We start from the raw sequence: 13,883 nt of genomic DNA, 5'->3' as shown, positions 1-13,883 counted from the left end.
GTGGAATACTTAACACCATGCCTGGTTTTATTAGAATAATGATTTTTATAGTAATTATAAGGGAGAGGCCCAAGGGGCTCATTACCTGGCTATAATGATTGAGCAGCCACGTGACATCCTTTGAATATGATCAAGGCAGTAGTAGATAATTACTAAATTTTTGGTACGAGTTCTAAGAACATTGTGACTAGAAGAGGAAGGGAACTTTTTTTTTTTTTTGAAATGGAGTTTTGCTCTGTCACCCAGGCTGGAGTGCAGTGGCGCAATCTTGGCTTACTGCAACCTCCGCCTCCTGGGTTCAAGCGATTTTCCTGCCTCAGCCTGAGTAGCTGGGACTACAGGCACATGCCACCACACCTGGCTAATTTTTGTATTTTTTAAAATTAGAGACCGGGTTTCACTATGTTGGCTAGACTGGTCTTGAATGCCTGACTTCAGGTGATCCGTCTGTCTCAGCCTCCCAAAGTGCTGGGATTATAGGTGTGAGCCACCACGCCCAGCCAGGAAGGGAACTTGAATACTTGCATTGTGCTGCATCCTATGTTAGGCATTTTATGTAGGTTGGGGCAGTGGGATATGGCAGGAGGAACATAAACATTCATCCATTTACTCTTCATTCAATAAATGTTTGAGTGCCTGCTATATACTGATACATTAGCTCTGGGTATGGGGGAAAACAAAACAAAATCCCTGCCCTCAGGGGGCTTACATTCTAGTTGGGAACGGCACACAGGCAGATAAGTAAAATATATGGCATAGAAGATGGTAGTAAGAGCTATGGCAAGAAATAAAGCAGAGAAGGAATGCTAGGATGGAATGAAGGGAGTGGACTTTGCAAAGAGTGCTCAGGGAAGGCCTCATTGTTGAGGAGGTGTCTTAGCAAGATGGAGAAGGTGAGGGAGGGAGCCATGTTTATGCATCTGAGGGCAGACTTTCCCAGGCAAAGGGAGCAGTTAGATCTGACAGCCCAGAGCCAGGAGCCTGCCAGGGGTGCGTCAGAAACAGCAAGGGGCCAGCGGCTGAAGCCGATGGAGCAAAGTCGAGAGGAGTGGATGATGAGGTTGGAGAGGGTATGATGGACCAGCACCTCACCCTGATAGTAAGAACCGTGGCTTTTTCCCTGAATGAGATGGGTTTTAAGCAGAGGCATGACATGATCTGACTTAGGTTTTAAAAGGATCAGGCTGGGTGAATCACTAGTTGGCTGCCCTTGAGCAAGCAGCTCAATCTCTGTGACTCATGTCTCTACCTCTTAGGGGTTAAGTGGACCAAATGACAAAATAGATAAGGATAGTAGATATGGCAGGAAGATACCTGGGAACATGATGGTTCACTCAAAACAGAGCACATTATGGGATGTCCTGAGGATTTGGATAAAAGTATAGACTTGATATCATAGGCAAACCAATTGATGTTTTAATAGGACACAATGTTATCATGGTAGATATTTTTATCAGAATAGAGTGAGCTTGGAAGCAGACAAATAAATTAGTTGTGCATTGCAAGATGCCAGATGGCAGATGAGAGTCTGGATCAGAGTGTGATCACAGGAATGGTGGTGAAGAGACAGATGTTAAAAATCTTAACATTTTTTTGGTTCTCATTCTATTGTAGCAACTGCTCCAGGATGGAAATGACCCTGACCCCTATGTGAAAATTTACCTCCTTCCTGACCCTCAGAAAACCACTAAGAGGAAAACCAAAGTGGCCCGGAAAACCTGCAATCCTACCTACAATGAGATGGTGGGTGGGGAAAATGGTGGGGTAGGGCAGGGGTTGGCAACCTGCGCCTGTTCTCCTAGATAAAGTCGTATTGAAGAACGTATTAAGATGTTGTATTAAGAACATGGCTGTACTTGCTGATTTAGGTGTTACCTGTAGCTGCTTTCATGTTGCAATGGCAGGATCGAGTAGTTGTAACATAGACCATATGGCTTATCAAGCCTAAAAATATTTACTATCTGTCCCTTTACATAAAAAGTTTGCCAGCCCTTTTGGGCTGGGATTTCATGGCTGGGGTCTGGCCCTATCCTGTGGGAAGGAGAAGCCTGCTGGTCCTGTGCTGAAAATGAGCAGTGGCCCCAATACAAAGCCCTCACCTGCTTGAACTCTGAGCAAAGAACAGAGTTCATTAATGCTTCCCTTGGAGTCTGTGTACCTTGTGTGCCTTCTGTATTACCTGGGACTCTGCAGGGTGAGTGCTAGCCTCAGCTGGATCAGCCCCCAACAGACTTTACCATCTCCCTCTCGGGTTCCCTCTGGATTCTTCTTGTTCCTTCTCTCACCACTTCCCTCACCCATCTCTATGTTTGCAGTTGGTATATGATGGGATCCCCAAGGGTGACCTGCAGCAGCGGGAGCTCCAGCTGAGCGTGCTGAGTGAGCAGGGATTCTGGGAGAACGTCCTCCTCGGTGAGGTGAACATCCGCCTGCGAGAGCTGGACCTGGCTCAGGAGAAGACCGGCTGGTTCGCCCTGGGATCTCGAAGTCATGGCACCTTGTGAGCCCAGCAGAGCCACCACCCAGCATCCCAGGCTGGTGGCAGGAGCTGGGGGAGAGGACTCTCCCCTGTGAGACTCCTCCTTGTGAAGGGCCAGGGCCCTGGGCAGGCCTCCAGCTCGGTCCAGGTGATTCTGGCCTCTGTGGTAGGAGGCAGGGAGAGTAAGACATGCTCTGCTGTCTCTTCCTCTGGAGACTGAACTTGGGTTGGTTGTGATGAGCAGCCCCTTGGAGGCTGTGAGGTTGCAGCAAAGTTTTAAGTTTACCTTGTGTCAAGGGAGCAATGCTTGGTTTGGGGAGTGTGTGGGGTGGGCTGTATGAAGTAGCATTTTGGGGGTGGGTGGGTGGATATCTTAATTTTTATTTTTAAAAAATGAAATAGTGATGTTGTCCTAACTGGGACAGGAAGCCTTGCGAGAAGGGACGTACCTATGCCCCAGAAGGCAAGAGAGGAAGACTATTTGGACTTTTTGTATGATTAAGGTTCTTATTGGACTTTTCCCTAGGTTTTTTTTTTTTGTTATTGTTGTTGTTGTTTCGTTTTCTAGCTATAGGAACTATCTGGGGAGGGGCCCAGTGGGTCCTCGGCCAGAGCCCTCTCTAAGGACAGGTTGGGGAGGGTTGGGGAGGGCTGCCTGTGCTGGACTGAGGCTTGTGCCACTGGGCCTTTCTGATTTTGCCTCCAAAGGAGAGCGCTGTGATACCTACATGTGTAAGGAAGGGCCTTCCGTATTGGGGTTCTGCCAAGGACCCGTATTCAGGGACCCATGCTCTTTTGGGGGGACTTTTCCTCTTGTCTTCCCTACTTTATTAGGACTTGCCCTGAATACCATTTTCTACCCCTTGCCCCTCCATTCTCCTGGCCCTTCTGGGGGTCAGCTGGTCTCTATGAATATGCTGGGGGTGCTTCCCCATAGGTCTCTCCCTTCATTTGTCTCTGGTGGGACAAAATACTGACTCAGTCCTTAGATGTAGTTTCACCCAAGAGCATCTTGGCCCTGGGAAGAGGTCCCTAGGCTGCAGATGCTACTGACTGCTTGCTAGGTAGCCTCTGGAAAGCATTCCCCATCCATCACTCCCCACTTCTTTCTGCTGTGCTGCTTCCCTCCCAAACTCCATTTCTGTCACCCTTTTTATAAGACTTTTCCTCATTCTGTGGGGCCATAAACCTATTTAGTCTGGAGCCAAAGGGATGCCCTATCTGAAGGAAAGGGGCATGGGGTGGGGGATTCCATCAAAACTGTTGTTTTTTGCCCCATGATTTTTCTTTGGTCAGTAGGAGGCTGGATTGGAGTGGTGATTATTCCCCTGGAGCTAAGCTCAGGAGCCCGAAGGGAGAGACTGAGACTGACTCCCTTATCTCTTCATATTCTTTATTCCCTACCAGATGGATTTTTTTTTTTTTTTTTGGAGACGGAGTCTCGCCCTGTCGCCAGGCTGGAGTGTAGTGGCATGATCTCGACTCACTGCAAAATCTGCCTCCCGGGTTCAAGCGATTCTCCTACCTCAGCCTCCCGAGTAGCTGGGATTACAGGCATGTGCCACCACGCCAAGCTAATTTTTGTATTTTTAGTAGAGACGGGGTTTCACCATGTTGGCCAGGATGGTCTCGATCTCTTGACCTCGTGATCTGCCTGCCTTGGCCTCCCAAAGTGCTGGGATTACAGGCGTGAGCCACCATGCCCCGCCCCAGATGGATTTTACATTTGCTCTTTTGTGTTTCGCTCCAAAGGGTTGTCTTCCTCGCCAAAAGGAGGGAGGGACTTTGAATTTGATATGAATCTTTAAAACCAGAATTGGCTGGATATTTCCCATGATTGGGAAAAGAGTGAAATGAGGACATTCTGTAAACTGTCCCTCCCTAATTCCAAGGATCAGAAACTCCCCGTTTTGCTGACTCATTCCATAACTGGAGAAAGAAGCTCCATTGACCGAAGCCACAGGGCAGCATGGAAGTTTAAATTTTCTCTAAAATTAAAATGCCAAGGATAAAGCTGGCTGCTTCCAGGAGGGGGAAGAGGAGTGGGGAGTGGGCGGTGAAACTTTTCCAGATGAACGGACCATAAATGTGTTACTGGCTTTGTGCCTGTAGCTCATTTTATTATGACCTATATGCTCCTGATTTAAAGAGATCTGTGTACTGTTTACTTCCCACTTCCCAGAATCCCTTGTATCTCCTTTCTCGGGAATTGTATTTTCTAATAAATGACATTTGAGAAAAAAATGAAACTATAATTTTATTTATTTTTTTGACACAGGGTCTCTCTCAGTCGCCCAGGCTTGGAGTGCAGTGGTGAGATCTAGGCTCACTGCAACCTCCACCTCCCGGACTCCATCCATCCTCCCACCTCAGCCTTCCCAGTAGCTGGGACCACAGGTGCACACCACCATGTCTGGCTAATTTTTTTTTATTCTTTGTAGAGACAGGGTTTTGCTATGTTTCCCAGGCTGGTCTTGAACTCCTGGGCTCAAGTGATCTACCCGCCTCAGCCTCCCATAATTTTTAAAAGTAATTTTTAGTAGAGCCAAGGTCTTGCTACATTGCGCAGGCTGGTCTTGAATTCCTGAGTCCAAGCAACCCTCTCACCTTGTCCTCCCAAAGTGTTGGGATTACAGGTGTGAGCCACTGCACCCAGCTGAAACTATCATTTTAAAGATTGGTTGATGTTTGGCTGGGCAGAGTGGCTCATCCCTGTAATCTCAGCACTTTGGGAGGCCAAGGTGGGTGAATCACCCGAGGTCAGGAGTTCGAGACTAACCTGACCAACATAGTGAAACCCCGTCTCTACTAAAAATACAAAAATTAGCCAGGCATGGTGGCATGCGCCTGTAACCTCAGCTACTCAGGAGGCTGAGGCAGGAGAATCACTTGAACCAGGGAGGTGGAGGTTGCAGTGAGTCGAGATCGTGCCATTGCACTCCAACCTGGGCAACAAGAGTGAAACTCCGTCTCAAAAAAAAAAAAAAAAAAAAAAAAAAATTGGTTGATGTTCACATGTTTACATTGAAACATCTGATGTATGAGATGAAAATAATAATAGTGGTTTTTTATACCACCACATGGTAACTTTTATATGCACTAGTGCACTGCACTGACCATTTTTACATTTGTCAGCTAAATCTATCCTCACAACAACTTGATCAGGTGTGTACCATTACCCATTTTACAGATGAAGAAACTGAAGCTCAGAGGGATGAAGTAACTTGCCTAAGGGCACACAGCCAATAAGTCTTGGAGTTTGAACCCAGGTTTGTTGCACTCCAAACCTTGTGCAACCCCTCCTAGGCAATGTTTAATACAATCCCTTAAGTTGGTCTAATTGGTATTTCGGGTGCTTTTTATACATGATATATATCATCTTCCATTACCACTGCCCTGGACAGTAAGTATGGCTCATTCATGAATTCTGCAACAAACATTTACAGTTCTTACCAGTGCTACCTAGTGGCATGCCTCCATTCATAAAAAAATACATTGTATTGAATGCATCCTGGGCCCTGTACTCTAGGTACTGGATTGGGGCTTACCAAGGTAAATTAAGACAGTTCTCTGCATTTAAGAAGTTCACTACCAGGGCCAGGCACGGTGGCTCACGCCTGTAATCCCAGCACTTTGGGAGGCCGAGGCAGGCAGATCACGAAGTCAGGAGATCGAGACCATCCTGGCTAACACAGTGAAACCCCATCTCTACTAAAAATACAAAAAATTAGCTGGGTGTGGTGGCGGGCACCTGTAATCCCACCTACTTGGGAGGCTGAGGCAGGAGAATCGCTTGAACCCGGGAGGCGGAGGTTGCAGTGAGCTGAGATTGCGCCATTGCACTCCATCCTGGGCAAAAAGAGCGAAACTGTCTTAAAAAAAAAAAAAAAAGAAGTTTACTACCTAGAAATATTTGACCAACTCCATTTTATAGGAGAAAAAACTGAAACTTGAGATGCCTCAAAACTATCAAGCCACTACAGCATAACCATAGCCCAGAAGGGAATCCCCCAAGTGCAGGATGGAAGTGAAGTGACCCTTGTTCAAGCATTGTACCCAGAAGTCTTCAGAACTCTCCAGTGGGGAGTCATGTTTCATACTGGGGAATTCTGTGGGGGCTTCCAGGGATTTTTCAGTAGTAAACAGTAGGAAGTGTTACTGCTTTATTTCTAAGTGGTCTTGAGGTGTCACTGCAGTTCTGGGCAAGTCCCTATGGACTTTTTAAAGGTTAGTACTTGAATCTGCCAAGAGTCTTAGTGAAGGAAATTTCGTGGCCAAATGAGGTAGAAATCTGAACCCTCCTGAGGGAATGGGAATGAGAGAGGTGGGGAATGAGAGAGAGAGGTTGCCCAAGGAGAAAAGAAACAAAGGCAGCCCAGGGGGCCCAGATTTCTGAGTTCAAAGAGAGGTGACAAAAATGAAGCAGCCCAGCTTGCCGAGATTTGGGGAGCAAAGATTAGACTGGATTTGAAAGGTGAAAAAATGAGGCAGCATTTTAAATTGGGAGAGAATTTTCTGGTGGCTGGGACTTGTCTAAAGTGTCAACAAACAACACTAATGGCTTACTCTGGGTGAGGCGAGGTGTCCGGTACTGTGGCTACTCAGATAACAAAGGTGTGGATCCTGTCTTCAAGGAACTCAGTCTTTCAAGGGAGGCAGGCATGGAAATAAATACAGTGCAGTGTGATACGGACAAGGTGGCATAAGAAGGGGTGGGGCAGGCAGAGTGGGCTTCAGAGAGGATATCTGATCTGAGTGTTAAAATCAATCAGAGCTTCAGGCTTTATTCTTAGGGTGATGGGGTTTTCAGAAAGGGAACTGCAGGGGCCGGGCACGGTGGCCCATGGCTCTAATCTCAGCACTTTGGGAGGCCAAGGCGGGTGGATCATCTGAGGTCAGGAGTTCGAGACCAGCCTGGCCAACATAGTGAAACCCCAACTCTACTAAAAATACAAAAATTAGCCAGGTGTGGTGGTGAACGCCTGTAATCCCAGCTACTCAGGAAGCTCAGGCAGGAGGATCACTTGAACCCAGGAAGTGGAGGTTGCAGTAAGTTAAGACGGCACCACTGCACTCTAGCCTGGGCAACAGAGAGAGACTCTTATCTAAAAAAAAAAAAAAAAAAAACCTGAAAAACGGTAATGTCTAATTTATGTTTTAAGGGATCATTCTTCTGGCTGCTGTTCGAAGCAAGAATGGAAGCAGAAGAGGAGGCTATTGTAGTCTAGGAGGGAAATGATGGTGGCTTGGGGATGGTAAAAGTGGTCAAATTCTGGATATATTTTGAAGGTAGAGCTGACAGGACTTGCTGATGGACTGCATATGGAATCGAGGGAAAGGGGAGTTGAGGTTGACTCCTCAGTGTGGAGCCTCAGAATGTAGGCAAAGAGTCCTCTGGAGGAATTACTGGGAGTGGGGAGGTAGGTTCAGTAGAGCTGAATCAAGACTACTGATTGTGATAAGTTTGAGACGTGTGATAGAAATCTAAGTGGAGAAATAATAGAATGGAATCTGAAGCCCAAGGGAAGTCAGTCTGGAAGTTTAGATATGGAAGTCATCAGCATTCAGATGGCATTTAATTCCATGGAATGAGATGAGATCACCCAGGTTAGAGAGGCATGTGGGTGGATTGAGGCCAACATTTAGAGGAGGAGGAGGAGCAGATCAATGGTGTCCTGGCAACCTAAAGAAAAGTATGATCAGTGTCCTGGGGCTGCCATAACAAAGTATCACAAACTGAGAGGCTTAAACAGCAATGTATTTCTGGAGGTTGGAAGTCCAAAATCAAGGTGTCTGCAAGGTTGATTCCTTGTGAGGGCTGTGCGAGAGTCTGTTCCATGTTTCTCTCCTGGCTTCTGGAGGTTTGCTGGCAATCTGGCATTCCTTGGCTTATATATGCATCAACCCAGTCTCTGCCTTCACATTGCCGTGGCATTCTCTCCCTGTGCATGCACATGTCTGTGTCCAAATCTCCTCTTTTTATAAGGACGCTGTCATCTTGGATTAGAGCCCACCATAATGACCTCATCTTAACTTGATCATCTGCAAAGAACCTATTTCCAAATAAGATCACATTCACAGGTACTAAGGGGACTTTAGTACTTTATCTTTAGGACTTTATCTTTTGGGGGACACAGTTCAACCCCTAACAGTCAAGAGGAGTGAACATAGCAAAGTGGTCTTGGTGACCTTGATAAGAGCTGCCTGAATGAGTGGTGGGGGTGAAAGCCACATTGGTGTAGGCTGGGGAGAGTATAGGTGAAGAGGAAGTGGAGACCATAAGCACTAACAACTCTCGAGAGGTTTCGCTCTGGTGGTGCAGAAGCTTGGAGGGGTGTGTATCTAGGGAAGGCTTTTTTTTATTATTTACTTTTTTTTGAGACAGAGTCTTGCTCTGTCACCCAGGCTGCAGGGTGGTGGTGTGTTCTTGGCTCACTGCAGCCCTAACCTCGTTGGCTCAAGCAGTCCTCCCACCTCAACCTCCTGAGTAGCTGGGACTACAGGTGTGAGCCACCACGCCCAGCGAATTTTTTAAATTTTTGTAGAGACAAGGTCTTGCTATGTCGTCCAGGCTGGTCTTGAACACTTGGGCTCAAGCCTTGGCTCAAGCCCCCTGCCTTGGCCCTGCAAAGTGTAGGGATTACAGGCGTAAGCCACCATGCTGGGTGGTCTTTTTATTTTTAATATAGCTGATATTAAGTTATGTAAATGTGAATGATCTATTAGTGAGAGAAACGTGTATGTTACTAGGGAGAAGGGATAAGAGAGGTCAGAATTCCTTAAGTGAAAATGGAGGGATGGCATCCAGGAGGTTTCTTGGGTTGTGGCAGGATTGAAGGCAGATTATGTGGGTCCAGATGCCGGTGGATTTGTTCAGGGAAAGATGAGGTGATTTATGTCCAGTTGTATCTGTTTTTTCTTGAAGTATGAGTGTGATCATAAACTGAGAATGTGTGTTTATGGGAAATGCTGGAAATTTGAAGAAAGAAGTATTGTGAGACAGTCTCAGAGTGTAGGAGAAGCAAAGCTTCTAGGGAACTGTGGTGGGAGTGCCTGGTGTCGATGAGATTGTGATCACAAGTATGAAGTGAGTCACTCAGCATGTCTGAGCGATCTTCTTAAGCAATGATTAGCTGCAAGGGTGCAGGCGCAGAATGCGTGAGTAGTTGGGTTTAACTAGGGTTGGAGTTTTGCCAGGGAGTAGAAGGGCAAGGGGGTAGTTTTAATACTGGATCATGGAAATTCATGCTGAGTAAGGAGGGAAATGAAGAGTGTGATGGATCACAAAAAGTGGTAAGAGCAATGGTTTGTGGTCTCTGAGGAGTTAACCAGCAGCTGAATAGGGTTATCAGGGCAGTGTGGATTGGTAGGAGGCGGCAGCCAGAGTGGGAGATACTGCGATATCAGATTTTGGAGCTGGTGGTGACTCCGAAAAAATCAAGAGCCATATACCCTTTACCTCAGTCTGGCAAAGTCTTTTAAAATAAACAGAATTAACTGAGGTTTTAATTTTCTCCGGCCAAAGTGCCAGTCAGCTTGCCAATGGAAGGACTTTTTGTCTTCACCAGCTTGCACACGGCCTTGGCAACATGTTATCTCTGTGTACAGATCTGGCCTCCCTCTGCCCTCTAGCAGGCTTGGGAAGGCTGAGTCACACTTTTCCAGCTGAGACGAACAAGGCAAAGTCACATATTCTCAGAGGCAGCTCTCAAATATTTTAATTTTTTAAACTTTTTTTTTCCATAAACTTTTGTAGACTGTTGCTCAGGTTCTTTCTTTCTTTTCCCTCCCTTCCTTCCTTCTCTCTCCCCTCCCTCTCCCCTCCCCCCACACTCCTGTCCCCCTCCTCTCCCCTTCCCTCTCCTCCCCCCCTTCTTCCATTCTTCCTTTTCTTCTTTCTTTCCTTTCTTCCTTCCTTCCTTTTCCCTCCCTCCCTCCCTTTCTTCTTCCTTCTTCCTTCTTCCCTTTTTTTCTTTCTTTCCCTCTCTCCCTCCCTCCCTTCCTTTCCTTTCCTTCTTCCTTTTCTTTCCTTCTTTCTTTCCCTCCCTCCCTCCCTTCTTTCCTTCCTTCCTTCCTTTCCCTCCCTTCCTTCCATTCCCTCCCTTCCTCCCATTCTTCCTTTCTCTTCTTTTCCTTTCCTTTCCTTCCTTTTCTTTCCTTTTTTTCTCTTTGTTTCCTTCCTTCCTTCCCTCCCTCCCTCCCTCTTTCTTCTTTTCTTTCCTTCCATCCCTTTTTCTTTCAAGACAGGGTCTCAGTCTGTCACCCAGACTGGAGTGTGGTGGCATGTTCTCAGCTCACTGCAGCCTCAACCTCCTGGGCTCAAGTGATCCTCCCACCTCAACCTCCTGAGTGGCTGGGAACACAGATGCACACCACCACACCTGGCAAATTTTTTGTAGAGATGGGGTTTTGCCATATGTTGCTCAGGCTGGTCTTGAACTCTTGGGCTCAAGCAATTGACCCACCTCCCAAGTGCTAGGATTACAGGCATGAGCCACCATGCCTAGCCCAAATACTTTATGATTGCATTTTCCCTCTTTAGAACTTCTAACATAAGGAAGAATAAAAATTATATATCCAATGACTACATGGGGAAGGGGAGTTCCATTCAAGAAAGTTTTAAGAAATTGTTTTCAGGGGTGTGTGGTGTCAGTCAGTGACAAAGTTGAGAGTGGAATGCAAGAGGCTTGGTCTTAAGGAAGACGACATTATTTTAAAGTATTATTACTCTTCCATTCATTCAACAAACATTTATTGGGTACCTATTATGTACCAGTCAACATACTACCTCAGTGGTTCTTAAACTTTTTGGCCTCAGGAAAAAGTTTATACTCTTAAAAAGTATTGAGGGCCCCAGCCAGGTGTGCTGGCTCATGTCTGTAATCCCTGCACTTTGGGAGGCTGAGGCAGGCAAATTGCTTGAGCTCAGGAGTTTGAGACCAGCCTGGGCCACATGGCAAAACCTCATCTCTACTAAAAAGAAAAAAAACCCCAACTTGGGCAACCTGGTGAAACAGTCTCCACTAAAAAAATATAAAAATTGGCCGGGCATGGTGGTGGGTGCCTGTAATCCCAGCTACTTGGGAGGCTGAGGCAGAAGAATCGCTTGAACCTGGGAGGTGGAGGTTGCAGTGAGCTGAGATTACACCACTGCACTCCAGCATAGGCAACAGAGCAAGACTCCATCTCAAAAATGTAATAATAAAATGAAAAAAAAAAAACAACAGGTGTGGTGGTACACACCTGCTATGCCAACAACTTGGGAGGCTGAGGTGGGAGGACTGCTTAAGCCTGGGAGATCAAGGGTGCAGTGAGCCGTGACTGCACCACTGCACTCCAGCCTGGGCAATACAGCAAGATCCTGTCTCAAAAAAAAATTACTAAGGACCCCAAATAACTATCTTTATACCTTTATGTGGTTTATAGCTATCAATATTTCCTATTTATGAATTCAAGACCGAGGAACTGAAAAATGTTCATTTAGGCTGGGTGTGGTGGTGTGCACCTGTCGTTCCAGCTACTTGGGAGGCTGAAGCAGGAGGATTGCTTGAGCCCAGGAGTTCAAGGCCATAGTGTGCTGTGATTGCCCCTGTGAATACGCACTGCACTCCAGCCTGGGCAACATATGAAACTCTGTCTTTAATGAAAAATACAATAAAATTTTAAAATTCATTTAAAAATAACCAATTACATGTTAATTTTTTTTTTTTTTTTGAGGCAGGATCTCACTCTGTTGCCCAGGATGGAGTGCAGTGGCACAATCTTGGCTCACTGCAACCTCTGCCTCCCAGGCTTGAGCAATCCTCCCACCTCAGCCTCCTGAGTAGCTGGGACCACAGGCGTGCACCGTCATGCCTGGCTAATTTTTGTATGTTTTGTAGAGACAGGGTTTTGCCATGTTGCCCAGGCTGGTAATGTTCAATTATTTTTCAAAACATAAAAAGCTTAGTGAGAAAAGTGGCATTGTCTTACATTTTTTCCAAATGTCTTTAGTATCTGGCTTAATATAAAACAGCTAGAATCTCGTATCTATCTGCTTTTGCATTCATTCTGTTGACAGTTCACACACCATGTATCTTCCAGAAGACTTCACTGTACATACATGAGAAAATGAGAGTTAAAAAAGCTGAGAATTATTATGGAAATATTTTTGGCCTTAAGGACCCTCTGAAAGGGTTTCAAAGGAGGATCCCCAGGGGTGCCCAGACCATACTTTGGGAACCACTTTTCTAGATAGTTGGATACAGCCCTCAAGGAATTCAGGGACCAGCAAGAGAGAATACTTACAGGTATATGTAATGCAATGTGTTAAGTGCTCTAATAGAGCGGAATAATATAAGTACTGTGAGGGATCCATTAATTCTGGCTGGAAAGGTCAATGAAGGCTTCAAGGAGAAGCTGACATTTGAATTGGATCTTGAAGGATGAGTAGGTATGTAACAGGAAAGGTGAAGCTTTTCTTGGCTGAGAAACAGCATGAGTAAAGGCAGGAAGCAAGGAGTACAGGTAAGTCCAATGTTCCTAGAATATAACATGCATGAAGACAAGTGACAGAGGAGGCTGGAAGAGTACAGTGGGAGGGCAGGCTGCATAGAGCCTTTATTCTGCAGGCAATGAGGAAACAACTGAAGACTGTAAAGCAGAACCACACAAGAATATTAGCTAATCTTTGTGCTCCTACTCTGTCTAGGCTAGGCACTGAGAAAACTTAGTTTTCTTACCAATCCATTGAAAGAGGAATTACTAGCCTCACTTTACAAGAAACAGGCTTCTGGTAACAAATTTGCCTACTTGGATCTGTATTATGAAACTGACCTCTATTATTAATACATTTTTCTGAAGTTCATAGGATTGAGATTTTCCAGAGGTATGGATAATAATACAGGATAAACAACAGAAACTGAGGTCCTCTTGGCTTCCTAGAAAGAAGTGGTTGTGCCGAACGTGGTGGCTCACGCCTGTAATCCCAGCACTTTGGGAGGCTGAGGCGGGCAGATCACAAGGTCAGGAAATTGAGACCATCCTGGCTAACATGGTGAAACTCCGTCTCTACTAAAAATACAAAAATTAGCCGGGCGTGGTGGCATGTGCCTGTAGTCCTAGCTACTAGGGAGGCTGAGGCAGGATAATAGTTTGAACCCAGGAAGGCGGAGGTTGCAGTGAGCAGAGATCACACCACTGCACTATATCCTGGGCAACAGAGCGAGACTCGTCTCAAAAAAGAAAAAAAGAAGTGGTTGTTCCTTGAACAGGCCCAGTAAGGCAGGAGGAGCTGCTGGTCTCCTCCCAGCTCCCTAAAGATTTTTCTGCTGTCCCTAGTGCTCATAACTGCCACCCTCCCTCTGTAATTGGTACTTGACTTCAGGGGTATCTATTACAGAGTTTTAGCAGAAATAAAGAAATG

At 46.0% G+C, this 13,883-nt stretch overlaps 1 protein-coding gene across 3 annotated transcripts in view; it reads left to right on the top strand.

Annotated features, from left to right (window-relative positions):
• PIK3C2B (phosphatidylinositol-4-phosphate 3-kinase catalytic subunit type 2 beta) overlaps positions 1-4,723 on the top strand; it is a 72,173-nt gene extending 67,450 nt beyond the window's left edge. For all 3 annotated transcript variants that reach the window (NM_001377334.1, NM_001377335.1, NM_002646.4), the window contains 2 exons: positions 1,615-1,743; positions 2,316-4,723. In NM_001377334.1, coding sequence (NP_001364263.1) covers positions 1,615-1,743; positions 2,316-2,504 — 318 coding nt within the window. In that variant the 3' untranslated portion in view covers positions 2,505-4,723. The remainder of the gene's footprint in view (positions 1-1,614; positions 1,744-2,315) is intronic.

Source organism: Homo sapiens, chromosome 1 (genome assembly GCF_000001405.40).
Source record: "Homo sapiens chromosome 1, GRCh38.p14 Primary Assembly".
NCBI classification, from domain to species: Eukaryota; Metazoa; Chordata; class Mammalia; order Primates; family Hominidae; genus Homo; species Homo sapiens.
The sequence above is the reverse complement of the archived record's forward strand: the minus strand, read 5'-3'. Positions and strand labels throughout refer to the sequence as shown.